This window comes from Homo sapiens, chromosome 7 (assembly GCF_000001405.40).
Source record: "Homo sapiens chromosome 7, GRCh38.p14 Primary Assembly".
In the NCBI taxonomy this organism is placed as follows: domain Eukaryota; kingdom Metazoa; phylum Chordata; class Mammalia; order Primates; family Hominidae; genus Homo; species Homo sapiens.
The window spans coordinates 30,979,871-31,007,534 of NC_000007.14; the positions used below are offsets into that span (position 1 = coordinate 30,979,871).

A 27,664-nucleotide genomic window follows, 5' to 3' on the forward strand; every position below is an offset into this window, starting at 1 on the left:
CTCAGCACTGTGCTTTTAAGAGATGCTCCCGGGGTGGACGCGGTGGCTCATGCCTGTAATCCCAGCACTTTGGGAGGCTGAGGAAGGCAGATCACCTGAGGTCAGGAGTTCGAGACCAGCCTGGCCAACATAGCGAAACGCTGTCTCTACTAAAAATGCAAAAAATTAGCTGGGTGTGGTGGTAGGTGCCTGTAGTCCCAGCTACTTGGTAGGCTGAGGCAGGAGAATTGCTTGAACCCGGGAGACGGAGGTTGCAGTGAGCCGAGATCACGCCCCTGCATTCTAGCCCGGGCGACAAGAGCGAAACTCTGTCTTAAAAAAAAAAAAAAAAAAGAGAGAGAGATGCTCCCGTGTTTCCCTGCATACATCTGGTCTGTCGTTTTGGCTGTATGTGGTGCTGTGTAGAGTCATCACCCACGTGTTACTGTCCTGTCCTGTCTCCCCTGCACTCTAGTGAACATGCACATGCCGGTCCCCTCCAGGATCTGTGAGAGTGAGCCTCTGTCCGGGACTCACACCCAGGAGGAGCAGTGCTGGGCATCCGTTATGCCACCTGTTGATGTGATTCGGAGGTGCCAGATTGCATGCTTCAGTTCTGCACTCCCACTAGCAGCTCTTGAGGTCCCTAAGTCCCACAGCCCCACCAACACTTGGCATTACCCAGCTTTGTAATGTTCACCAGCCAAATGGGTGTAAAGTGCCATGGCACTGTTGTCCTAATTTGCATCTCCCTGATATCTAATGGGTGTAAACATCTCTTGCTGTACCCGCTTGCCTTTTGGGTTTCTTCTTCTGGAAATTGCTTGAGTCTCTTTCCCTATTTTCCTCTGGAGTGGAGATGCCTCAACTCCAGGTCTTTCTCTTACGTCGTCCCCATTGTGTGCCCTCCTGGGTCCCAGCATACTGCCTGCTGTCCCCCACCCAACTGAGGACTCCCTTAATGTAACACATCTACATAGTCTGTCCCTCTTCCAACCTCCTTCTTGGCAGCGGGGAGGAGAAGGAGACCCAGGCTCTGTCCGTGGGGACCTATTTATTGACTGACAGTGGTGGAGGGAGATTCCAGTACAGAGAATAGGCCTACTCGGGCTGATCGCCAGGTGCCATTTGCCTTGTCCTGGTCCTTGCCTGGGTGCCTCTCTTCTCTGTGATCCCCTGCATGGTGGCCCTCTCCTCTGCACGGAGGATCTAGCTTGTCCTCCATGGCCTGCCTGGACCAGGTATCTTTTCTCATGCACTGGGAACAGAAGGAGTAGGCATCCTTTACCTGTGCTGGCTCACAAGTGTGTATCTGGTGGACGCAGCAGATGGACATCCTCCTTCCTTACAGTCGTGAGAGTTCCAGGGAATGGAGACACAGCTACATGAAGCCCAAGGCCACATTGTTGCCCATGACGCCCGGCTGCCTGGCACCTTCCTGGTCAGACAAATGTCAAAGTGCGGGCCCAGTCTGAAAACCCATCATATTCAGTCTCAAATCATAAAAGTAATTCATATTCATTGCAGGCATTTAGGAGATACAGAAGGATTTTTTAAAAAATCAATCATCATCTTATTACCAAGACATTCACCATAGATACTTTTGTATGTTTCCAGAAAGATTTTTTTTCTGTGTTTTGGAAGTAGCTTGAGATTATATTTGTAAAATTTCATATGATTTGTATGCATTAAAACAATATACATTATATATAGATGGCCAATAATCACTTGAAAAGATGTTCGATATCATTAGTCATTAGGAAAATGTAAATCAAAACCACAATGCAATATTGTTTCATGTCCATGAGGATGGCTAAAAGGAAAACAAAATAGCCAATAACAAGTATTGGCAAGAATGTGTAGAAATTGGAACCCTCATGCATTGCTGGTGGGACCAGAGAATTGTCAGGTGCTTTGGTAAAAAGTTGCACAGTTGCTCACAAAGTCAAACACTGAATTATTCAGAAAATCCACTCCTAGGTATATAGGCAAGGGAATTGAAGATGTATGTCTACACAAAACTTGTACATGAATATTCATAACATCATTATTCATAGTAGCCAAGAAGTAGAAACAACCTAAACATCCATCAACTTATGAATGAATTAACAAAATGTGGAATATCCATACGATGGGATATTAGCTCCATTATTTCTGTTTGAGGTAATGAAAAGTTCTAAAATTAGATCGTGATGATGGTTGCAAACTCTGAGAATACACGAAAACCACTGAATTGTACACTTTAAAATGGTGAATGTTGTGGTACGTGAATTCTATCTCAATAAAGCAGTTATTAAAAATGAGTAAATGAGTGTTTGCTGGAGAACATTTGCAGACAATTTTTCCGCTACATAATTTGAAAAGTCTATATAATATTATTTATTTAGCCAATAGTTATTTAACATATTTTATTCGTGAAAGTTTCTGTCGATTTTAAAAATAAATATTTATTACAAAAATATTAGCTAGGCATGGTGGCGGGCACCTGTAGTCCCAGCTACTCGGGAGGCTGAGGCAGGAGAATGGTGTGAACCTGGGAGGCAGAGCTTGCAGTGAGCTGAGATCACACCACTGCACTCCAGCCTGGGCGACAGAGCGAGACTCCGTCTCAAAAAAAAAAAAAAAATTGTGATGATAAACTTCCTTGCATACATTTTTTTCATGTATACCTCAAAAAGACAAAAACTTAAACTCCTAGACCTTCAGAATAAATTATCCTAATGTGGAAGAATGTTTGAACCAATGCAATGCACATGATAAGTCTTTTAGTACCTGTTGGCAAATTGCCTCCCAGAAAATTGGTCTAGAGAATTCTTGCACAAACAATATAAGTGTTACAGTTTTTCTGCATTGTTATTATTTTTTGAGACAGGGTCTCACCTGTAGACCAGGCTGGAGTGTAGTAAAGTGATCACAGTTCACTGCTGCCTCAACCTTCTGGGCTCAAGTGATCCTCCCGCTTCAGCCTTCCCAAGTAGCTGAAACTACAGGCATGCACCACCATACTGGCTAATTTTAAAATGTTTTTGTAGAGACAGGGTCTCAGTACATATTGCCCAGTCTGGTCTCAAACTTCTGGGGCTCAAGCAATCCTCCTGCCTTGGTCTCCCAAGTGCTGGAATTACAGGCGTGAGCCAGTGTGCCTGGCTGGCATCATTATATGTTTCTCTGAGTTTTAACTGGTGTTAGCACTGTTAGTAATGGTGTTAGCATAGTGGTGATAGTAGTTAGTGTTAGTTAGCTTGGTTAGTGCTCTTTAATACTAGTTGTGACTAATTTTAGTGGTTAGCAGTTGGTAGAGTTAGTGGCTAGTTAGTGGTTAGCATTAGTTAATGTTAGTGGTTAGTGTTGGTGATTAGTTACCAGTTAGTTTAGCAGCTAGCTGTTAGTGTTAGTTAATGTTATTTAGTGGTTAGTGTTACTGGTTAGTTAGCAGTGAGTAGTTAGTGGCTAGTTAGTGTTGGTGGTTCATTAGTGATTAGTGTTAGTGGCTGGTTAGCAGTGAGTGGTTAGCGTTAGTTAATGTTAGTTGGTGGTTAGTTAGCCATTAGTGTCAGCAGTGAGTGTATGATATTGGCAGTGGCAGAAGCAGCTCACTCTGTGAACTGTCCATCCCTCGCCTACAGGTTTCACAATGGCTGCAGGTTCACCACTTGCTCCCTTTTAGTTTCAACTGGAGCCTCAAATTCCTATCACTTCTCTTGTCTCTCCCATGACAGGGATTCGCAGACTGGGCCTACGATGCAGATTCCTGGGCAGATCCTTTGACTGGCAAGCTCTTCCTCTCTCAGGACTCCAGCTTCCACAACTGAGCGGGGGGGTGGGGGGAGTTGCTCAGGAGATGATGTCTGAGGACGTCTCACCAGGGACACTGGATGGGAAGCAACGAGCTAGGCTGAGAAGCGCAATGATCATCCTGGCCACCAGGTGGCAGTCTAACTGCAGCCAAGAGCCCTGGCTGGGCCGACGGTGCTGCCTGCCTGAGCTGACGCTGGAGATGGACGCAGGACCCCTGCGGCCTGACTGGAGCTCAGCGAGCCGAAGGGGCTGGTGGAGAAGGGGCTGCTGGTCTGGGCAGCCTAGGTTGGGAGGGAGGGTCATGGCGGGAGTGTGGAGGAGCAAGACATCCCCACGCCCCCCGCCCCCTGCCCCAGACCCCAGTGTTGATGAATAAGAAGCGGATTAAGAAGAGTGAGAGCTGAAGAGACAGGAGAATCAGGGACCACGAGAGCCCGTGCAAGATCCGGAGCACAGGGGCTTCCCTGGGTCCCAGGCTTTCTGCAGGACTCACCCCCAACTACCCCGGTGTCCTCCTTCCAGCCAGCCTCCCCGCGGGTCCTGAGAGGAGAGTTTCCTAAAGAGAAGGAAGAAACTCGGACTTCCCTCCTGTTATGTTCGGGCTCCTCTGTGAGAAAGAGGAGGAGAGAGGAAAATGAAGGGCCCATTCTCTGTCCCCAGAGAGCCCCCAGGAATGTTGGGAAGATCTGCAAGGATGAGCCTGAACCTAGAGGTGAGAACTGGTGTGCCGGGCTCAGACTCTCTGGGATGTGGGAGCTCCGAGGACTGGGTGTGAGTGTGGGCAGGAGCAGTCAGGGAAGGCTTCCTGGATGAGGGGACTCAGGCAGGGAGTGTAGACCCTAGAGCCCCACCAGGCCAGGCTGCGCAGTGGTCCCTTTCTACCGTTTGCTGGGCAGGAAGCGGAATGGGGTTGATCTCAGTTTAGAGAGCAATACGTGGAGGAAAGTTCCGGTAGGAGGGTGGTATCGGGCCCAGGCTTCGTTCTCCCCAGGGACTTTCATGACATTCCTGCTAGGGCTCTGGGTCTGCTGGGCACACATTTATCCATGTGGTGAGTGTTCACTGAGTATCTGGGGAACACGCACCTTGCTAGAGTCTGAAAATACAGCTACAAGCAACCCCCAAATGTTCCCCTACACAAGGGGCTTAGGGTCTGGTTGGCAATGGCCAATTTTACATGTCAATATGACTTGGCCACAGGATGCCTGGGTATCCGATTAGTCATTGTTTGTGGGTGTGTCTGTGGCGGTGTTTCTGGAAGGGCTTAGCATTTGAATTGGCAGACTGAGTAAAGCCATGGCCCTCCCCAGTGAGCAGGCACCAGCCAACCCTTGAAGTTCTGAATAGAAAAAAAAAAAAAAAAAAGGCAGAGGAAGGTTGAACTTGAGCTTTCTCTGCCTGGATGTTGAGCTGGAACATCTATCTTCTGCCCTCCAGGATCCTGGTTCTTAGGCCTTCGAATATACCACCCGCCCTCTGGGGTCTCTGGCTTGCAGAGGGCAGATTGACTTCTCAGCCTCCATAATTGCATGAGTCAATACCATACAATAAAGCTCTTTCTACACTGTGTGTGTGTGTGTGTGTGTGTGTGTGTGTGTGTATGTGTGAGGGGTGTGTATATAAAATGTTGGTTTTATTCTCTGGAGAATCCTGACTGATACAGAAGGCATTATTTAGGGCTCTCTGTTGCAGACAACAGGACCCACTCTGGCTGAGTTAAGCAAAAACATGACAAGTTTAAGGACATCAGGTAGCTCCCCTGTCTCTAGGAGGGCCTGAGCTCAGGCCCAGAGGCAGTGCCCATCCCACACCAGGGGGCTACTGTGGCAAATTCCTCATTTCACCACTTTTGGTCATGGACACAGCTGCTCACACCACCAACACCAGGGACAGAATGCCAGAACCACCACATGGCTCTCCTGAAAAGCCAAACTCCTTCCCTGCCACGCTGGCCAAAAATTTGATTCCACCTGGCACCAGCTCCCTCTTATTGCTGTCTTCTGGATCTAAGTCCCACAGAGTTACCCCTGATGGCACAGTCCAGTGACCCTGCCCACTAGCTGCAAGGAAGGCTGGTACAGCAAGCTCAGACCTCTAGCTTGGAGAGGGCCCTCCTACTGTGGCAAGGTTCTCAGGCACAAGAAGGGTGTTCAGAATATGCTGGCTGGCCACAAGCATGACAGATGTGTGGCACCAAGAGGCAAGCACACCATTCAAGCAATCACATAGTAACGGTGACGGATGCAGAAAGAACAGCAAAGTGTTGGGAGAACAAATATCTAGATGACCAAACCTAGACCGGAAGTGTAAAAAATAAAAAGGCTTCCTGGAGGAAGTGACAGCTAAGCTGAGATTGGAACCATGAGAATGAGTTGGCCAGGAAAAGAAGTGGATTAAAAAAAAAAAACAACCAGGTAGAGGAAACAGCACGTGTGAAGGCCCCGAGGTGGGAAGGAGCTCGGCGTGGGAAGAGATGCAAGTTAGCTACTGTGGTTGGATCTTAGGGAGAAAAGGGGAGCGTAGAGCGGGCGGCACCCAGATCACGCAGGGTCAGGAAAGCTATGCTAAGGTTTCATCCCAAAAGGTACTGAAGTGTGTGATGTGACGAGGCTTAGGTGTTTTAAATGATCGCTCTGGCTGGTATACGAAGACTGAATTTCAGGCAGAGACCTCCGCTGGAAGCAGGGAGGCTGGAAATGGAGACACGTACTAGGGTGATAGTGATGGAAAAGATAAGGACCAAGTCCAAAGCTGTCTAACTCAGGGGTGAAACTGTGTGAGAGCAAGAAGACGGACGGAGGCGTCCCACAAGCCTACTGGAATGAGGAGAGACAGAGAGGAGCAAGCTTTTGGGGGAAGAGCAGGAGCTCAGTTTGGGCACATTGGGTTTGGGGTGCACTGAGACAGCCAGCAGGGTGCCAAGGAGCGGGCTGGAGTGAGGAGCGAGGCCCAGCTCAGAAGTGGAGTTCATGAGTGGCCAGTATATTGGTGGCGTTTGATGCCAAGGGCATAGGTGGGGCCACCCCGCAGTGAGAGTGAGGAGCAGGATGAGAAGGGGACTGAGGGCTGAGCCTGGAGGGATCCACACATTCACAATCCCACGGGGGAGCAGGAGCCCCCAAAGGAGGCGGAGCAGGGGAAGGAGTGCTCAGAGAGGTGGGAGGAGAACCGGATGAATGTGGGATCCTGGGGCCCCAACCAAGATTGTCCCAGCGAGGGGCTGCTGAGCCGGCCGAGTGCTGCTGAGCCGCCTTTGTGAGAGGATTTGGAGGCGCAGCTCACAGCGAGAGCGGATTTGGCGGAGGATGGACTCGGAGGCTGGGCTCAGGGGTGCTGAGAGGGAGCGGCTGGGGCAGCCCAGGAGAACAACCCTTTACCGAGGCTCCTCTGGGAGGGCGGGGGGAGCCAGAAGGGAGCGGGAGGAGTCATTTGGTTTTGTTGTAAGAGGACAGCCTGTAAAAATGCTAAGAAGTGGATATGGGAGTCACTGAAAAGTGGGGGGCACGTCATGGAGCGGGGTGGTTGAGAAGGAGTGAGAAGGCAGGTCCTGAACCCAGTGTGGGGGGCCTTGGCTGAGAAAGGGGACTCTGCCCCAGAGGCTGGCAGGTGGGTGTGTGGCCTGGGGGTGGGCAGGAGAGGGAGGCCAACTGCTGGCTCCTGCATTCGTCATGAAGGTGAGGTTCCTGGCCTGCTGGGGGTGGGCGCCAACAGGGGGTGGGAGTGGAGAGCGGGTGGGTCTTGAGAGTGCAGAAGACGGAAGCAGCTGCGGCAGAGGTGGGAGGACAAGCCAGTAGGGAAGAATATACAGTTGCCAGGCCATGCTGGCGGGCCAGCTCCCCCAAGAGCGGAAACTTGGAGTGAGACCACTTTTTCTGGGTGGAATATCTGGTACAGACAAAAGTGACTTGGGCTTATTCAGGGTTGGGTTTTGCCCCAAAGGCTGAGGCACCAGGGACTTGTAGGTGTTTGTCAGAGAGCATTTGTGCAATGCCACAGGGTCCCTGCTGGAGGGTCTGCTGGAAGGGAGTGGAGTATTCGGTGCTAGGGCTGGGTGGGGGTGCAGAGGAAGAGTTCTAGGAGGACAGAAGGGTGTGGTCAGAACAGGATGCTTTGCAGCACAGCTGGTGTGACTTCCAGCAGTAGCATGGGCTCCATGTTGGTGTGGGAGGGGGTGTCTGCTGGGGGTCAAGAAGGTCCCTGAGAGAAGGAAGGGCAGGGACTGTGAGGTCAGTGGGTGACAGACCATCAGCCTGGGCACTGCTGTCACTCAAGACAAAGGCTGGGGTTGAAGGGCAAGGATGACTTTCGAGCCAGAGCCTCCAGCCATGAAGGTGGGGAAGGGGCTGCAGGAGCCTGGGGGTTGCAAACAGGAGGCTGGGGCAGAGGTGGGATGCAGGGAGTGAGGAGGGGCAGACCAGAGGGAGAGTCCAGACAGGGCGGGGTGGAGAGGACTCAGGGTGCGGAGCAGGAACCGAAACCCCCAGGCACTGGTCCCCTGCCCTCCGGAGCCTGGGCAACCAGTCCAGCCATCCTGCTATGGCTTTGCCCTCCCAGCTTTGGGGCTGCCAGAGGCCCTGGCCCTAGAACTGTTAGGAACAGGGCTGCCTTTGGGGCAGATCCAGGCTTTGGAAACCAACAGGAAACTGCAGATATTATTATTTTTTTTTTCTGACACTCTGTTCTGCCTCATCTGTGTGACTCTCTCGTGTGGATTTTTCTCTTCTGGCTTGCTCTTGCACACTCTCTGTCTCTCTGCATCTTTCTCTTTTTGAGGCCCCAGATTTTAGCTGTGGGGAAGCAACAGAGCAGCCCATCAGGCAGCTGCCCCATCTCCATGATACCAACATCTGAGTCCCGGGGCTGGCTGGAGGTGGCCGGAGCTTTCCGCTGGCATGCAGATGGCCAGCTAGCCCCATCTGTCAGAATTCTCCTCCGGAGTGCTCTCTGCCCATCCCCCACACCATCCCTCCCTCCCTCCCTAACTCTCCTGTCTTCCCCTCGTGGCTGTCCCCTCCCAGGTAGAGTGTTGTGCATGTGAGGGAGGGCTGTGTGACCTTCAGCCTGCCACTCCCTTCCCTGGGGAACTTGCTTGGGCTCCAGCTTCCCCGCAGGCGTCCCTGGGAGTAGGTCAGGGCCTGCGAGTCTCCCTCCCTCAGAGGCGTTGCATAATCAGCCCGAGGCCCTGTGCACATTCCCATGGTTACGGGACTGGGGAAGGCTGGCAGTGGTGGCATTGCCATGGCACCGGCGTGGCCCTTGGCTCTGCTGGGCGTGGCGCAGGCACGGAGGGGCTCTGGGCTCTGGCTGCTGGAGAGATTGTTGCGGGGGACGACCTTCCTCTTGACTCTTTGCAGGGCACCTCAGCTCAGCAGCCATGGTGACCTGGGAGCAAACCCTTGGCACACTGGCTGGCTCAACACAGACCACACTTGGAGTTGTGGTCTCAGCCCCAGCCTGACCCCAGACCCGGCCTGCAGCCCGTGTCCTTTGCAGCCCCTTACTCAGTCCTAACCTGGGCCCAGTTGGAGCCCTCGTGGAGCACAGCTAGGCCCTCCCCCGAGGCCCTGCGGGCATTTCCATCTGCACTCTGCCTGCACTCTGGCCATGGCCTCAGTCCTCCGATCCCCTGCACACCCCCACTCCCCCAACCCCTTAGTTCAATGTTAAGGAATCAATAATACATATTAAACAAGCTGTCTGTAAACAGAAACAGACATAAAACAAGGTTATGTATCAATCAGTTGACAAAAATGTTGTGACCACAGGCTCACAGAGCCTGTCTGGGTTTTTTCCCAGTCGCTGTGGCCTCCTAGTGAGGTGGTCTGTGAAGAGTCAGGAGGAGGGCCGTCCCCGCAGTGATCTCTCTGGCAGCCAGAGCCCAGAGCCCCTCAGTGCCCGCACCACGCCCAGCAGAGCCACGGGCCATGCTGGTGCCATGGCGATGCCACCACTGCCAGTGCTGTACCCGCCACAACCAGTGCTGTGCCCGGGGGCCCTCACAGGGTGGAGGGGAAGAGTGGCAGACCCAAGCCTCACTTTTGGGGGCAGACAACAGAGGTGTGTGTGTGACTCAGGCCATCAGAGCTGTGCGGGTTCAAAAGTCACAGGTCAGTTGACAGTTGGGGGTCAGAGCAGGCAGGAAGTCCTCCTGGGGGAGGCAATGGTGGGTGTGTGGGGCTGGAAAGGCTGGATAGAATTTGAGGAAGGGAAACGCCAGGGAGGTGGAACAGCTGCCGTGAAGGTGGAGAGTCCAGAGCTCAGAGTGCAGGACCCACTGGATGGAATTTGATCTCTCAAAGATAGACCGTGTGCTTGTGTAGAAGCTTCTCCAGGCTCACCTCTGCACAGAGCTCAGGGAAGGATCTGATGGCTGGGAGCAAACCCTTGGCTCACTGGCTGGCTCAACACAGACCAGACTTGGAGTTGTGGGTTCACAGGGCTCAGGGAGACCCCCAGAGGCAACCTCAGCAGGAAGAGCTTCACGCAAGGCACACGAGAGACCCCCACGCATAGCCCCGCCTGAGCCCAGAACCCTTTGTCCAGCTGCTGCTTTGGCTGCCCCTTGAGCTCCACGGCAGAGCTCTCATCACAGCCCTCTTGGCCCTCACAGGGTACAGCCCATACAGTAGAGACAAAACAGATCCCGTCACTCCCTGCTTTCTGATTTGACCAGGGAAAAATAAATCCAAGTTCCTTTCTGCAGCCTGCAAGGCCCTGGGTGTCCTGGGCCAGTCCAGCTCTCCAACCTCAGCTTCTTTTGCCTTCCTTCCCTGTGCTCCGCTCTGGCCACACTGGCCTTCCTGCTGTCTTCTGATCCCCTGAGCTTGTGTTCATTTCAGCTCAGCTGCTGCTTGGAACACTCTCCCCCTAATGCCTCCCATGGCTGCCTTCTTCCATATAGCCCCAATTCAGTACCAATATCACCTCCCCAGAGAGGCCTGTCCTGGCTGCCTAGTGACATCACTCACTTTCACCACTGCATTTCCTTGTTTTATTTTCTTCATGGCACTTAGCAGTAATTACAGACAATGCTCATTATTTGTGGTAGTTACGTTCCATAAAGTCACCACCAACACTGAGTTAGCAAACATGGAACCATTGCTCCTAGGGTATAGGCTCCTGTGAACCTGTGGTCACATTTTTGTCAACTGATCGATACAATCGATACATAACCTTGTTTCATGTCTGTTTCTGTTTACAGATAGCTTATTTAATATGTATTATTGATTCATTAACATTGAACTAATGGCCAACAGCACTGTGACTCATGTCTGAGTGAAGCTTCTCTGGCACACGTTTTCCTCGTAAGGCACATCACAGCCCTCTTGCACATAGGAATGCTGGAAAGCACTCCAGCCTACACTGGGGGGTCACTTGAAATAGTGAAATCATCAACAAAAAGCACAAAAATGTGAAACACATGACACTAAATACCACTTGGTGACAGTATGTAAACAAGGGAAGCGACCCTTGTTTATAGTCTGAGAGCTGCAACAAGAAGTCAGAGCATCCCCTGCTTGGGCTGTGCTGGGAGGTGTGCATTGGGCCACTCAAGCTTTTCTCCACTCTGAGAGTGTTCAAGAATGATGGTGGAAGCGCTGCCAGTGTTGACACTGGGGTTAGAGAGCAGGCAAATTTACAGATATGGAATGTGCAAGTAATGAGGGTCAAGTGTGTGTCATTTACGTATTTGTGTGTTATTGTTGGTCTTCCCATTGTCTTACTGCTGCATCCACAGCACCTGAAACAGGTCATGGTCAAGATTCAGTAGATGTCTTTATTATTTTTAAATTATTATTATTATTTTTTGAGACGGAATCTCACTCTGTTGCCCAGGCTGGAGTGCAGTGGTGTGATCTCGGCCCACTGCAACCTCCACCTCCTAGGTTCAAGCGATTCTCCTGCCTCAGTATCCCGAGTAGCTGGGACTACTACAGCCGTGCACAACCACACCCAGCTAATGTTTTGTATTTTTAGTAGAGATGGGATTTCGCCACGTTGGCCAGGCTGGTCTTGAACTCCTGGCCTCAAGTGATCTGCCTGCCTCGGCCTCCCAAAGTGCTGGGATTACAGGTGTGAGCCACCGTGGCTGGCCCTATTTTTAAATTGTTTTGAGACGGGGTCTCTCAGTATCAAGCTGCACACAGGCTGGGACTTGGAGTGACTTCTCAGCACCCAGTCTGGGCTGGAGTGTGGTGATGTGATCACAGTTCACTGCAGCCTTGACCTCCCTACCTTGAGCAATTCTTCTGCTTCAGCCACGAGAGTAGCTGGGATTTCAGGTATGTGCCACCACACCTGGCTATTTTTTAAATTTTTTTTGTAGAGACGGGGTCTTGTCATGCTGCCCAGGCTGGTCTCAAACCCCTAGACTTAAGTGATCCTCCCGCCTCAGCCTTCCAAAGTGCTGGGATTACAGGACTGAGCCACCGCGTCCAGTCTCACAGTAGATGTCTAATAAGTATTTATCAATGGACTGCCCCGGCCCCGCCCCCCAACACACACACACACACACACACACACACACACACACACACAATCCTTAGGAGTTCTCAGAGCGAAAAAGACACAGAGTGTCCCTTCCTCTGGTGCTTCTCTCCTGGGCACCACAGGCAAGGGAGAGGAGAAAGATTCTGGAAGAAAAGCGGGGGTAAGTGAGAGCCCTTGTCCTAAAGCGTTCTCATCCCCATTCTCCCTCTCCTTATGGTCAGACCTGTCGCTCAACACAGGGAAGCCTGGTGTGCACATGTGATTATGTCCACTTCCCCGTGGTAAGTGTCACCAGGGGCACAGGCAGTACGTGTCCAGCTTGGCCGAGGTTGCCACTCCTGGTCCTGCGGGAATGGTGTGCATGCCTGCACGCACGCATGTGTGTGCGCACAGGAGCATGTGTGCTGAGGGTGCAGGCACGTGCCTGGGCTTGTGCCTGGGCATGTGCCCGGCTCTGCCCTGACAAGGCCTGCCGGCTCCCTAGCAGCTGGAGCACCCGCTGTGCTGACAGGGCCTGCAATCACGGGAAATTACCAAACCCAGAACTAAAATTAAGGCTGCTGCTGCTGCTGCTGCTGCCGCCGCCGCCACAGAGCCTGTTTATGAGCCAAACGCCTGGAAGAGGCCTCGGGAGGAGGCACTGTGAGGAACTCGGAGGACAGGGATGAAGACTGGGCAGGGAGGCCACAGAGGAGGAACCCCAGCTTCCATTTGGCAAGTGCCTATGGAGTGAAATGTCAGGCGCTGTGCTGGTGAATTTCCACACTTTATTTAGCCATCACAATAGATAGGTATGGCCCCCCTTTGACCAACAGAGAGCTGGGTGTCACAGAGGTTAAGGCTCTTAGCTAGCAGAGCTGGGATTTGAAGGTGGGGCTGTCTGACACAGGGACTGGGACAGATCTCTGGACCTTGTGAGGTTAAGTGGAAATGTGCCCCACAAAAGGTTTGATTCTGGTTTTTAGTATGGTATTTGATGTAAGGAACATCAAAAAGAAGCCCCTGAGTTTGTAATAGCCCTCCTCCTGCCTACAGCGTGACCTGTAGCTGGACCCTGTGGGAACTCACACGTGCCTCCAGGAAGGACAGTGAGCGGAGCATACACACCAATTCTACCGAACCCGTTCCCACGCACAGTCGCCCCCACCCCGTGGTTCCAGAACTGGTGGGTTCTTGATCTCGCTGACTTCAAGCATGAAGCCATGAACCTTCACTGTGAGTATTACAGTTCTTAAAGATGGTGTGTCCCGAGTTTGTTCCTTCTGATGTTCGAACGTGTCCGGAGTTTCTTACTACTGCTGGGTTTGTGGTCTGACTTCAGGGGTGAAGGGGCAAGACCTTTGCAGTGAGCGTCACGGCTCTTAAAGGCGGTGTGTCTGGAGTTACCCACTCCTCCTGGGGAGTTCATAGCCTCACTGGCTTCAGGATTGAAGCTGCAGACCATCCCGGTGAGTGTTACAGTTCATAAAAAATGGCAGGGACCCAAACAGAGAACAGCAACAAGATTTATTGCAAACAGGAAAAACACAGACATCCCAAAACAGGGAAATAGAACCGACCAGGTTGCCACTGCTGACTCAGGTGGCCCTCTTTTATTCCCTTATCTGGCCCCACCCACATCCTGCTGATTGGTCCATTTTATAGAGAGCTGATTGGCCCATTTTACAGAGAGCTGATTGGTACATTTTACAGAGAGCTGATTGGTCCATTTTGACAGAGAGCTGATTGGTGCGTTTACAAACCTTTAGCTAGACACAGAGTGCTGATTGGTGCGTTACAATCCTTCAGCTAGACACAAACGTTCTCCAAGTCCCCACTCCCTTAGCTAAACACAGAGTGCTGATTGGTGCATTTACAAACCTTTAGCTAGACAGAGAGTGCTGATTGGTGCGTTTATAATCCTTTAGCTAGACACAAAAGTTTTCCAAGTCCCCAGCCGTCACAGAAGCCCAGTCATCTTCAGTTCTCACTGGCAATCGCTGCAGGAGTTTGCAGCACCTAGCCTGGGCACTCCGGCAGCCCAGAGAAAGCTCCTAGACAACCAAGAAGAAAAGAGGGGAAGCGAGAAAGACACTGAGACTAGCCATGGTGACCAATGACCCTGCGAAGAGGGAACGGGGTCCATGCACGGGACCCAGCCTCCTATGAAGCCCAGCAGGTGCCGGCCTGCCGAGCCCGCGCCCACCCGGAACCAGCGTCGGCCCACGAGCGCCGAGCGCAGCCCTGGCTCCCACCTGCGCCTCTCCCTCCACACCTCCCCACGAGAAGAGGGAGTGGACTCCTGCCTCGGCCAGCCCCAAAGAGGGGCCTCCACACCGCAGCGCGGGCTGAAGGGCTCCTCCAGCACGGCCAGAGCGGATGGTGAGGCCGAGGAGGCGCCCAGAGCGAGCAAGAGCTGCTAGCACGTTGTCACCTCTCACCAGCATCACTAGCTCGAGGCTCCATAGTGTTTATATGGGGGCCTGGGGGGGCGCAGTATCAAGCTGCACGCAGGCTGGGACTTGGAGTGATTTCCCAGCACCCTGTGGCCCTGAAAGGCCCCTGGCCCCAGAAGGACCCACCTGTGATCTAGAGAACGAAGCTCCTCCCCTTCACCGCTCAACCTGGCCAGCAAGCAAATGATGAATGAACCGTGGAGAATGTCTGTCGAGGGGCCCTGGCTGAGGGCAGCGGCAGGTGGGCACATACCCATGCTGCTCCCACCCCTGCCAATCTCAAGGAGAACCTGGCTCACCGGTTGGAGGCTGTGGAGAGAGAAAGCTGGGCCCCGAAGCCATATGGCATTTGTTGGCACACAACCTGGCTGGCCTCCAGCCAGTCAGCGCCTTCATCTGACTTGGCATAAAAATGACAACAGCGCCAGGCACTGTTCTAGGATGCACACATCCATACACAGTCCTTACAGGGCTCTTTGAGGAAGGATCGTCATCTCCACTTTACAAGTGAGAAAACTAGGGCATAGAGAGGTAAATGATTTGCCTTCAGCCGCCCAGCTGGGAGGCCATGGCGCCAGGACATGGACCATTGGCTTGGGCAGCCTGGTAGTAGAAGCTCTGTGCTGACCACCATGCTACATGGCCTCTCTCAGGTCCTCCAGGCCCTTGGCCCTTCCCAGGTCAGGTTCACATTGTGCAGGTGGCCTGGTGGATGGCCCTCTAGCCTCTGCCTGAAGACAGCCAGCGTGGGTGCCCACTCCACTGCTCCTGACCTGGCTCTGTGGGGCAGAAGGCCGTCCTGGACAGGGTCTGAAGCAGTTCTTCAGGGCGTCATCTGCCCACTCAGCCTCTGCTGCCTCCTGCCCCTTCTGCCTCTTGGTGGCCTTCTGGAGACTTGAAGAGAATAGTCACAATGCCTGTGGACCTGCTCACCCGTCGGTCCACACAGCCCTGGCCCAGACTGAGAGGGACCAGTCGTGAGACCAACTGTGTTCCAGGCCCGGGCTTGGACTTTTCGTTAGCTTTAAAAATCTTGTGTTTGGGTTGTGACTAGCATTTAATATTTTTTGATGGAATAGAAGAGAATAGAAGCTAGAGCATGAGTCAGTATTGCTTCTTGAAGCTTTTAACTCCATGTTACATACATGCACGTGTTTATGCTGAGTCAGAGTGAAAAATGAACTTCTCACTATGGGAAAGTGAACAAGTTTGAAGGACACTCAGTCCTGTAGATTGCCTTCTCCTTTCTTGCATCCTATTTTGGTTCCTGCATTGACCCCCAGCCAGCCCAGGTCTCCCCTCAGGCTGAGCTCAGAAGCCTCCCGCTCCCGGCCCTGCTGAGCCATGTCGAGATCTGGGCACACAGGGAGACAGGAAGCCTTGTGGACTGGGCGATGAGAAAAGGAACCGCTGCATAATGTACGCTCACCATGTGCCAGGCTCTGTGCTGAATGCTCCACTTCCATCGTCTGTTAAGTCTCATGAAGTAGGTGGCGTGTTCGCTCCGTTCCGCAGATGAGGAAACAGGCGCGGGCTCTTCACCTTCTTGCTCAGTCATGACACTCATGGAAACGTCATAACTGAGTTTAAATCTGGGTCTTGGAGCTTCCCGGGTCACTCTCTTCACACCAGCCTGCAGCACTGCTTGGGAGCGGTGAGCACCCAGGCAAGCAGTGATTAGGTGCTTGCCTGATCCTCCCACCTCACCTCCCTGATCACCTCCTCCTCTTCCTCCCTACACCCAGAGCAATGGCTCCTGTCGAGTTCCTCCCTCTAGGGCCCAAGGGGTTCAGTGAATCTAATTGGAAGCAGCTTTTTAGTCCTGTGACCCAGAGGCTTGCTGAGGGCGTGGGGAGGGGACCAGATTGTGGAGAGCCAGGCCTGAGGCCAGCAGAGTCTATTGCGCAACCTGCAGGCTGCACAGCCCCAGCCCTGGGGGTTGCATTTCTCCCTTTACCTTTTCCCCATTCAATTCACAATAGCGGTCTGGTGGCAGACACCACATTCCTGGCACTGTGGAGGCTAAGTCACCAAGAGGGCCGCACACTCCCTCATAGAGCTGCTCAGAGCTCTCTCCACCGTGGCCCGGGGCTCAGGCTTCAAAGTGGAGGGCCTCTTCCTCTCTTGCCTCTCCCTTCTTGGAGGCATGGGTTCCGGAGTGGGCACTACGTTTGTCGTTAGTTGCACTTGGGTTCAAGCCAGGTTTGGGGGCACAGGAAGATATGGTGGCTATTCAACTATTCAACCCGCCCCCTCAAATAAAATCCCACTATGACTGAAAATAAATCCTATTATTTGTGAAGTCCTCCCCATTTCACTCAAAGTAAAACACCAAAGGCTTTACAATGGCCTACGCAGGACTACAAAGACCTCCGAGTCTTGCCTCTCTGGACGAATCTTCTTTCTTTTCTTTCTTTCATTGCTCACGCAACTCCAGCCTTGCTGACTTCCTTGCAGTTCCTGCCCCAGGGCGTTTGCACTTGTCACTCCCTCTGCCTGGAGCAGGTTCCCTCAGACACCCATATGACTCACTCACCTCTTCACTCTTAGTCCCACCTGCAGCCTCTGCAGTGGCTTTTGCTATTTCTTCACTTTATTTTTTTCTCCATGGTGCTTACTACTAAAATGCCACATAACTTGTTTATTTACTTTGTTGTATCATTTCTGTTTCTCCATTAGAATGTAAGCTGCATAAGGGTGGATTTTTTGTTCCGTTTGTTCAGCAGTGCCTAGCACAGAGCAGGCATGAGAAAAATGTTTGTGGAAATGAATTGAAATTGAATTAAAATAGTCATAAGGATGTCCAGAATTCTAATTTCTCCCATGACTTCCCTGAAGTTTCCGTATCAAATTATTTGAAACCCACGTCACCTAAAAGAATCTTTTCTGTTTTCCTTTGGGTGAATTCCAGCTCTGATTCAGGGCATAGCCACACAATGGTCTGCTACAAACAAGCACTTGGAGGGTTTCTGAGGCCAGGCTCTATGCTGGATGCTGTAAATAGAGATGCGAGAAAGAGAGACACCACCCTGCTCTCTGGAGCTCACAGCCTTGGGGGAGGCCCACGAGGAGCAGGTGGCAATGACGAGAGTTATGACAGGGAAGCCCGGGGGCTGTGGGCGCCCATGGGAAGGGAGAAAGTTCCAGAAGGAGAGAACAGTCAGTGTATGTCTCTTAACTCCTTGGAGCTCTTTCCTCGTGTTAAGGCTGAGCCTGTGAGCTGACTTGGAGGGCAAATGAGAGGACCAGCTGCAGGGCGCTCTGCAGGTGACACGCAGATGCTGGCTTTCATTTCTTGCTCCTCACTAGGAAAGCAGGAAGGCAGGGTGGAGATTAGTAAGCCCATTTTCCAGATTTTACCATGTTTATTATAAATTATATGTTATTATATCAACAAATAATTTATTATTTATTAATATCTTTTCCTGTGTGTAACTTTTCCCCCCTTCCTCAAATTTTAGTTACATCGAGAACTCCTGAAGGGCTGGGACCCTTCCACGTTTCTTGTTTCCTTCTTGCCCCCTTCTCAGCAGAGCCCAGATCCAGCCTTGGTAAATCAGGATGTTGGGACTCAGAGAGGGAGAGTCACTCGTCTATGGTCACACAGAGAATCAGAGCTTGGGCAGGGGCTGAGGCCAGGCCTCCTGCTTCCTTGCCTGAGGCTCTTCTACTGCCAGACACGTGCTCTTCGGAGCCCATCTCTAGCCTGTGTCTAGGGTTCCCCCGGAAGAAGCCGTGGCCCCTGACCCTGCTAAGCCTTCCTCCACTCCTCCAGCACCCCTGGGGCCATCAAGCTCAGAGCTGCAGGCCTGTGGGGATGGCTGGAGGCGTGGGAGTCAGGGCAAAGCCGGTTCTCACTGAGGTCTTTGCGTGCCTCTGCCAGGGCTCCCCAGTGCTCTGGCTCCTCCCTTTCTCCTCTGAGGATGGCCAGCTCACTGGAGCAGCTCTGGGAAGGACCACAGCCCGCCCTTTTGCGACAGACTCTCCCAAGCGTCAAGAAAACTGATCTTCAGGGCTAGATGGGCTGTCATAAAAATTCAGTGTCATACCTCTTCTTAACATCATATAGATGAGGAAACTGAGGATTAGAGAAGGCAAGTGGCCTGCCCAGGTCCAGGGGCCCAAGGCAGGACTAGGTCTAGAATTAGAGTTCCGTGTCACCATTGAGCCTGAAGGTATCTGCTCTTTTAAGGCCTCTAGTGTGTTTCCTCTGGGCTGGACTCCTAGCGTCTGGGTAACCTTGTGTATTCGTCCATTCTCACACTGCTATAAGGACATACCTGAGACTGGGTAATTTATAAAGGAAAGAGGTTTAATTGACCAAGTTTGGCAGGGCCGGGAAGGCCTCAGGAAATTTACAATCGTGGCAGAAGGGGGAGCAAACATATCCTTCTTCCATGGCGGCAGCAAGAAGTGCCCAGCAAAAAGGAAAAAGCCCCTTATAAAACCATCAGATCTTGTGAGAACTGACTCAGTATCACAGGAATAGCATGGGGGAAACCGCTCCCACGATTCAATTACCTCCCATCGGGTCCCTCCCATGACACGTGGGGATTATGGGAACTACAATTCAAGATGAGATTTGGGTGGGGACACAGCCAAACCTTATCGCCTCACATAGCTCCAATGACAGGGTGCCCACTACCAGTCTGTGCTTCCTCTTGGTTCCTCTCCATTTCCATTCTCTTGAGTCCCGGACCCAGGTCTTAGGGGTCAGGTTTCCTGTGGCCTTCCCTGCTCTCCCACAGGGTGCTGCTAAGGACCTCCTGAGCTTCTCTCTACCCTTGTCTATACAGAGGGCTCCTGACACTTCTTCTCTGCTCTACACAGCACACTGGGGCCCAAGACAAGGTTTGCTCATTCTTGTCATTCATTTATTCAAAAATATCTAGGTGTGGTGGCATGCATGTGTAGTCCCAGATACTCTGGAGGCTGAGGTGGTTGGATCGCTTGAGCACAGGAATTTGAGGCTGCAGTGAGCCATGATAGTGCCACTGCACTCCAGTCTGGGTGACAGAGCAAGACTCTGTCTCTAAAAAACAAAAAGAAACAGGCTGGGCGCAGTGGCTCATGCCTGTAATCCCAGCACTTTGGGAGGCCGAGGGGGGCAGATCACGAGTTCAGGAGTTCGAGACCAGCCTGACCAACATGGTGAAACCCCGTCTCTACTAAAAATACAAAAATTAGCCAGATCTGGTGGCATGTGCCTGTAATCCCAGCTACTCAAGAGGCTGAGGCAGGAGAATCACTTGAACGCGGCAGGCAGAGGTTGCAGTGAGCTGAGATCACGCCATTGCACTCCAGTCTGGGTGACAGAGCGAGACTCCGTCTCAAAAAAAAAAAAAAGGGGGGGAAACAAAAAACCCCAAACATGTTTATTAAACCTATGATGTACTGTGTACCAGGTACTGTTCCAGGCATCATGGATAGAGTAATGAAAACAAAAATATCAGACCAAGAAAAGATGTGAGCAGTCCCTGACTTAGATGCCTCACTACCATTACAGACCCTCTTGCAATGGTGAGACCCATAACCAGAAGGACAGACTGGCAAGGCAATTAAGAGACGGATAGATACACAGGGAAAAAAAGGGAAGTTCAAAACAGAAATAGGGTGAGGCACAGGGAAACGTTGCAAAGCACTGGTTCCGAGGTTAGCTACAGTCCTTCTCTACCAGGAAATGACAAGCCTATCCTTTGACCCTTTTCAGGACTTGGAGGCGGAGGAGCCCTTGGGAACATCTGGAACATCTGTGAGCCATTCTCTCCCACTGAGGAGGACTGGGCCAGGGCTAATGTGGGCAGGGGGTGGACAAATAGATCCAGTGGGACACCCCCCAGGCCTCTTCCTGCTCCCAAACCCCAAACATTGCTTCCGGAACCTGTGCGGCCTGGCTCTTTCCCAGCCTCACCGCAAGACTCCCTAGTCCTGCCTCTGGCTCAGCATGGGCCAAGCCTACCCCGTCCACACCCTCTGCAGGGTTCCTTCCAGGCTGGGGGTAGCAGGAGAGAAAGCCAGAGCTGTGTGAGATTAGAGGAGGAAGAGCAGGCCAGGGAGGAGGCTTTCTGCGGGCGAGGGCATGGCTGGGAGGAACTGAACTAGGGTGAGGCAATGGAGGGGCCAGGTAGAGGGGGGATAACAGAGGGGAGCAACTTCTACTCCAGACTGACAGTGACATGAATCGAAACTTGCCCCCCACCCTTGCTCTTGGAGTTGAAACTTGAGGATGGAAGGTGTTATGGACTTAATTTTGTTCCCCCACCCCCTGATTTATATGCTGAAGTCCTAACCCCCAGTCTTTCAGAGTGTGATTATTCAGACACAGAACCTTTGAAGAGGTAATCACGTTAAAACGAGTTCACTGGGGTGGGCTCTAATCCAACATGACGGGTGTCTTTATAAGAAGAGGAGATTCAGACACAGACAGACAAAGGAAGAAGGCCATGTGAAGACACAGCCAGAAAACATCTGTCTACAAGCCAAGGAGAGAGAGGCCTCAGAAGAAACAACCCCGCAGATACCTTGATTGTGAACTTCCAGGTTCCAGAATCATAAGGAAATGCCTTTCTGTGGTTTAAGCCCCCCGATCTGTGGAATTGGTTATCCCGGTCTGTGGAATCGGTTATCCCGGTCGTCTGTGGAATTGGTCACATCAGCCCGAGCTGACCACGCAAGAGTGACGCTGTTCAAACGGCACCATCCACTGTCTTAGGGATGGGTACTTTCAGTTCACTGGGACACCCCACTGTCTGGGCACTCTGCTGGGAAAGAGACACACACACCTTCAGGCTCACAGTCCTGGCTTATGATTTCCCATGGGTTAGGGTCAAAACTGGGGCAACTGGAGAAGTTGATACTCTTCATTTGAACTAGACAGGGTGATCTTTGACAGAAATCAGTCTACTTGGTGAGTTGTATTTGCTTTCAAGAACATAGGAAAAAAACAGGTACAACATTGCCAGTACAGAGACCAACCAGAGGTGGAAGTGCCACTGCCTTCCTCTTGGACTCTGAAGGGATAGAAGTGTCTGCTTCCTGCCTAGAGCCATCAGATTCAGGGACTCATAAACATATAGCAAATGCCTGAGGCAGGGCAGTTCACAAAGCTCAAGGATGTACTGGGCTGCTGAAACACTTAACCTTGAGGGGAAGGGTTGGTTGTCCATGGAATAATTGTGCAAATAGCTAATTCTTTCCTATTCCAGACATCGGCAACAGACTGCATGTTTAAAGCATGTCACGTGTCACCTTAATTAATCCTCACAAAACCCCAGTCACTATCAGCATCTCATTTTACAAATGGGAAAATTGAGGCACAAAGAGATGATGTAACTTGACCAAGGTTACTCCGCTGATAAGGAGGAGGGGTAGTAACATCAGTTGGAGAAGGCGTGTGAAGAGGAAACCTCTGGGGAAAGGTGAGGGAGCAGGGGAGCAGTCACGTGAGCTGCCTTCTGAAGTCTTGCCTCTCAGTTTGGAGTGACTTTGGGACACTTATTTGAACACTTCAGTAAAAAATAAACACTCCTTTTTGAGGTCCAGAGAGAATTTAGTCTGAGGAAGATAAGCCCTACAAGATGTGGTTATTGAGACAACCAAAAAAGTCAGTCAAAGTGGACAATCGTAAACAATGACAAACACCTTAAATATTTGGAGACAGCTTAAAAATCATATATATTCATTAAGCACTCTTGATGTGTGGCCAAGGTCTCTTTTTTGAACAGCAGTCTGCTGGCTGATGAGAGTTCTTTTATATCTTTATTTTTAAAAAACCACGTGCATGATGTCTCATCTTTGATTTCCTGTTCTGGTTTCTTTATAGAGTAAGGAAAGCATAAAATCCCTCGCTGGGTGTCATAAGGGCTGAGTCCCCATTCCCTAGCTCTCTTTCTTTCTGTGCATAGTGTAGGATGGCCCTTTGGTGCCCATCTGGAGTTAGTTATGGTCACATGACTTAGCTTGATCAGTCGACTGTAATAGAAACAATGAGTGTCACTTCTGGGCAGACGCTTTAAGAGTTGGCTGAGGCCGGGTGCAGTGGCTCACACCTGTAATCCCAGCACTTTGGGAGGTGGAGGCGGGCGAATCATCTGAGGTCAGGAGTTGGATACCAGCCTGGCCAACATGGTGAAACCCCATCTCTACTAAAAATACAAAAAGTAGCTGGGCACAGTGGCGGGCACCTGTAATCCCAGCTACTCAGGAGGTTGAGGTAGGAGAATTGCTTGAGCCTGGGAGGCAGAGGCTGCAGTGAGCCAACACTGCGCCACTGCACTCCAGCCTGGGCAACAGAGTAAGACCCTGTCTCAGGGGGAAAAAAAAAATAGAAAGAAAAAAGAAAAAAAAAAGGAAAAGAAAAGAGTTGGCTGGGCATGGTGGCCCAGGCCTGTATTCTCAACACTTTGGGAAGCCAAGGTAGGAGGATCACTGGAGCCCAAGAGTTTGAGGTTTGAGTGAGCTATGATTGCACTACTGTACTACAGCCTGGCTGACAGACTGAGATCCTGTCTTTATTCTTTTCAGAAGAGTCAATACATACTTCACCATGTACCTACAACCTCAGGTACTGGAAAAGGTTCAGATATATTGGGGGAACCATCCATTTGGGCCTGAGGCAGAGCCCCATTTAACCCATGATAGGCATGTAGCATGAGTAAGAAAAAAACCTGTGTGAGATTTAAACTACTGAGATTTCGAGGATATTTGTTACTGCAGCCTACCCTTTCTTATCCTAACTGACACACTCATGAAGTTCTATGAGCATAGTCTTATTCTTGGCTAGATGTATTTAGATACGTTTCTCCAGTATTTTAATATGGGTCTCACTCAGACCTCATTTCACAACAATTCTTTTTAGATACTTGCTTTTACTGTGTGATATTCAGGAACCCAGCCCTTCTTCCTGATGTTACTTCTATAGTGAAAATATGGAACTGCAACGAGGCATCCACTGTGCATGTACAAGGCAGCTCTTATAGGTATGGTCATCTGGAGCATCCTGAGGGCAGGTACAAGGCCCTTCTCTTCTCCTAGTTGAGAGAGACAATTTCCCCTGTTGTGAGAGACAATTTGCCATGGTCCATGAGAAAATTTGCCATGGACCCATCCCTGAACATTCTTGCTCGGTGTGCCGAGAATGCAAGGCTCTAGTCACTCTTTACCCGGGCTGTTTCGCAGGGCTGTATTTGCCATGAGCAGCCATGAGAGATGCAGTAACACCTCCCACCAGGAAAAGACCAGGTTTCTTTCCACTCGCTAGAGAAGTGGCAAATGTTCCAAGCTCAGTGTTACTCTCCTGTAATGCGATCCATTGGGTGACTCACCATCATGGGCCCTTTGCATTGTCTTTGTGGGACTTGGGTGATGTCGGAGAACCGAAGCAATCCTATGCAGCTCTGGCTAGTGCTTTTGCTGTGAGTGATGAAGTCCTTTGTCTCTGACCCAGGAATCTTGTATCTTTGGCTGGCATCCATGGAACAATAGCAGGCTAACTTGTTAGCTTGTAAATTGGGTAAAAATCTCAGACACTGCACTGTTCCTGACATCCCAACTCCAGTTCAGCACAGGACTGGGCATGTAGTGGAATGATGGGAAGTAAGGCTTGTGCTTTTCACTTATTGATCTTGGGGCAAGGGAGTCCCAGGATAGCCTTTCTCCATACTTAATTCTCTGGTGGCCTTTTCACTTCCTGAGCCTCTGCTTTACCCTCTGCAATGGGGATAACAATCTAGGACCCGTGGTTCTCACTCAGGGCTGTTAGATTTGAAAGTCTGGGGGAAGATGACTGCTGCTCTCTCATAAGCACCAGCTGACTTCTGTCTTTTCTCAAGGTAATGCTAGCAAACTTAGACCCCTCCCAGAGAGACTTAGGGCAGAGGAAGGAACAACTCACTGTCAGTGAGAAAGAGGAATGTGACTAGGAGAGATCCAGTTGGCTGTGGAGTCTTCCCTTCTGGAGCTCTGCACAAACAGGACAGGAGCTTGCATGTTTTCAGGAGGCAGGGTCAGACTGGATACCTCCCAGGGCTCTGTTTGGAATGGGAAGCATGACACCCACCTCCAGGAAGCTGATGGGAAAGACTTGCCCTAGTTTCTAGCCAGGAATTTGAGTTTGCTATGTCAGGACAGCAGCAGTGGCCTAGCAAAGGTAGATGGCAGCCAGAAACAACGTGAGATGCATGTGCCATCTCTCCCTAGGCAGTGCTGGAATTTGTCCCCAAACACATACCTAGCAAAGACAGGGTGCATTCATGCATTTCACATTTAATAAATCTTGAAAAAATAACTCAGTGCAAAATTGAGGGAAAAAGGGAAGGGATAGTTGTTTGTCTGCACCCTCTCCAACTGTGGCATCTTTGCTGTGCCCTCAATAACTGTCACATGGGAACCTGTGTGCCCTTGAATTTCTCCGCTACACTTCAGGGAAGGAGGCTGGCTTAGGGAAGGGTGATTTGTGTATGCTCACAGGTCAGACTGGAAGGTGAGAGAGAGACAAGGTGGTAGGATGGCTGCAGCAGCCCTGGTGAAAGGTGAGGAGGGCCTGAACTAGGGAGAAGTTCAAGGACGTTGGTGAGGTCTACTTCTCAGCTGGGGATGCAGCTCCTGACTGTCTGTGGGGCCCCAGGGTGGCATCCATGAAAACCCTTGTGTTTGCTCAGCCCCTGCACCTGGCTGAGGGCCTCCTCTTCTGCAGAGGATTCTGGGAGAGGTTGCCCCTGCCAGCCTTTAGTCCTCAGGGATGGGGGTTGGGCCAGGCTCAGGAACCCAGCCTGGGCCTCGCCATCCCAGACCCTCCCCACGCCACACCAAGGAAGGGCCTGTCACCAGGAGAAGTATGACCCTCCCGTGTCTGAGTCCTCATTTCACTTACAGCTCGGCGCTAATCCAATTGCTGGCTCTAACCTAATTCTCCATTGTTGCTAGAGTCCTTTGCCTGCCGATATTAAAAATCTTTTCATTTAATTGTGCAGAAGATAGATCCTCCTCAGCCATCAGGTGGTAAATATAGAATAGCTGATGTGTAGCTCTAATTTCTTCCCTGGCAGGCCTCCTGCAGTTCTGAGTAATTGGGGACCAAGAAGCTCTGGGAGGAAGGAGACAGGAAGGAGAGAAGAGGGAGGCAGGGCGAGGAGCTGGGACCTTGCTATTGTCAGGAGGTTACAGATCAGAGGAATCTGGTCAGTATGTCCATTTCTGCAGGACCAGTTGTTTTTCTTCTGAATCTCTCACGCTGCCTGGTGACTGGGGTCTTGAGATGTTGCAGGAGAATCACGTGTTCCTCCACCATGGGAGATCAAGATGCACCATCCGAACGTACCTTTGGTGAAAGTCTTGGGATCCCCAGGTCACCAAGAACCACAGCTATTTGATACACCAAGACCCTTTGTGATGATTGAGTGTAACCCTCTGGTTTGGGGACCACATGGTTTCCCAGCCAGGCACTGAAAGAGTTGATGACAGATGACAAGCATCTTGATTTCTATCCAAGGAAGGAAAACTATGTGGAACCCTGTGGTCACTGTGTGTTCCCATAGGAGAGGGACAGTGGCATTGAAGTGAGGCTCCAGGAGCCATTAGCAGGCTAGGGTCCTCTCTCCTTCACCCAGAAAAGGGCAGGGCTCCAGTTAAAGTTACTGGCCTCACACTTGGCCACCAAGGAAGAAGGAAGCATCCTAGGAAGAGCCACTGGTCACCAGACACTGCCTCTCTGGTGGCTCAGTCCCAACTGGGGCTTCCCAGGAGTTCACAGCTTCCAGGACTCCCTGGTGCCCTGGAGAACATGGCAGGCTACTCCGTCTCTTGGAGGGAGGGCTGCAGCTTCCTCTCAACTGCATGCTCAACTGCTGTGAGCTCCCAGCTCCTCATGCCTGTCCACTGGCAGACCTGAGCTTCTGAGACTGCTCCTGCTTCCCTGTAAGAAGTTTTGCTGCACCTCAGCTCTTGGACCCCCTTCTCTCCACCCCACCCTCTCACAGGCTGTGGGGGCATTCCTCCTCCCAGACTGGGGACCTCAGGTAGCCTTTCTTTCCCTTTTCCCTCCTGCCTCAGAGGGAGACACAGATATTTCATGGAGTACCTGTTTCCTGAGCACTTGGGGGATTCTCAGGGCTCCATCCCCGCCTGGCCCCATCACCCCAGGCCCTCTGGGTAGGTCTGTGCTCTCTGACTCCACCCCCTGTACTCTCCAAGACCAGCTCCTCGTCTCCCCCACTAATACTGGGTTTTGCAACCCCCTCTTCTCTACCCTTCTCTACCTGCTGATTCAAGATCCTTGGGGGAAGAGGAGGGAACACTCACTGCTTGGGAGCTGCTGAATCCTCTGACCAGGGGATGCTGAAGAAGGTGACTAAGGTGGTTTCCAAGACCCTGGCCTGGAATATTCCCACTGCCCTTCTCTGTGAGTTATTCTCCTCTACGGCTCCTGCATCTTCAGAACAAACAACAGCAGAGCACGTGACTGCTGGAAACGCCCAGATGGCTCCAGTCACAGGATCCCTGCATGTCCGGGCCAGAATGGCCAGCACAGCTGTCCCCTTCCCTGTTCTCAGGTGAGGAAATGAACAGCATGTGGGAAGGCCACCCAAGCTCATGCAGTGGCTCCATGCTAGGACCCCGGCTTCCTGGCTACAGTCTAGACGCTAGACATTTCTGTTCCTGTTGTGAGAATGATAGAGAACTCACAAGGATGGGGGTCAGGATGACAGAGCGTCAAAACCAACTATCCCCTCTGCCAGCGGTGTGACCTCCAGCAAGTTACTCAACCTCTCTGGGCCTCCATTTCCTCATCTGTAAAATTAGGGTGACAATGGTATCTGCCTCGTGAGGTGACACGAGAATCCGCTTAGATAACCCTCCCAAAGATAACCCTCCAGCACCCTATCTCACACATGGTAAGTGATAATTAGCTATCACAGAAAATTCAGCTCCATTGGATTGAAAATTTCTCCTCAAACCAGTGTGAG

The 27,664-nt window shown here is 51.5% G+C and overlaps 2 long non-coding RNA genes across 5 annotated transcripts in view, besides 4 other annotated features; one reads left to right on the forward strand and one right to left on the reverse strand.

Moving 5' to 3' along the window:
* Positions 3,829-3,988: a silencer, noted in NCBI's record as "silent region_18074". NCBI's record gives its function as "represses an Ori minimal core promoter by ATAC-STARR-seq in GM12878 lymphoblastoid cells {active_cell/tissue: GM12878}" and the evidence as "EXISTENCE:reporter gene assay evidence [ECO:0000049][PMID:35858748]".
* Positions 3,954-27,664, forward strand: part of LOC105375222 (uncharacterized) — a 46,023-nt gene continuing 22,312 nt past the window's right edge. For 3 of the 4 annotated variants that reach the window (XR_001745156.2, XR_927160.2, XR_001745155.2), the window contains exons 1-2: positions 3,954-4,489; positions 13,303-13,482. This is a non-coding gene — a long non-coding RNA (uncharacterized LOC105375222). Of the gene's footprint in view, positions 4,490-13,302; positions 13,483-13,588; positions 13,716-14,174; positions 17,503-27,664 lie in introns of those variants that run through there. The other variant, XR_927159.2, reaches the window with a different exon arrangement.
* Positions 4,598-5,123: an enhancer, noted in NCBI's record as "NANOG-H3K27ac-H3K4me1 hESC enhancer chr7:31024083-31024608 (GRCh37/hg19 assembly coordinates)". NCBI's record gives its function as "activates a minimal SCP1, AML or CMV promoter by ChIP-STARR-seq in naive H9 embryonic stem cells {active_cell/tissue: H9 hESC(naive)}" and the evidence as "EXISTENCE:reporter gene assay evidence [ECO:0000049][PMID:30033119]".
* Positions 10,022-10,802: an enhancer, noted in NCBI's record as "H3K27ac-H3K4me1 hESC enhancer chr7:31029507-31030287 (GRCh37/hg19 assembly coordinates)". NCBI's record gives its function as "activates a minimal SCP1, AML or CMV promoter by ChIP-STARR-seq in primed H9 embryonic stem cells {active_cell/tissue: H9 hESC(primed)}" and the evidence as "EXISTENCE:reporter gene assay evidence [ECO:0000049][PMID:30033119]".
* Positions 13,241-14,440: an enhancer, noted in NCBI's record as "BRD4-independent group 4 enhancer chr7:31032726-31033925 (GRCh37/hg19 assembly coordinates)". NCBI's record gives its function as "activates an origin of replication core promoter dependent on BRD2, P300/CBP, MED14 and CDK7 cofactors, and independent of BRD4, by STARR-seq in HCT116 cells {active_cell/tissue: HCT116}" and the evidence as "EXISTENCE:reporter gene assay evidence [ECO:0000049][PMID:35650434]".
* LOC105375221 (uncharacterized) lies at positions 13,755-27,120 on the reverse strand. The gene is made up of 4 exons (XR_927158.3): positions 27,000-27,120; positions 21,224-21,460; positions 14,829-18,007; positions 13,755-14,300 (listed from the first exon to the last, which is right to left on the reverse strand). It is a non-coding gene; the product is annotated as an uncharacterized LOC105375221 (long non-coding RNA).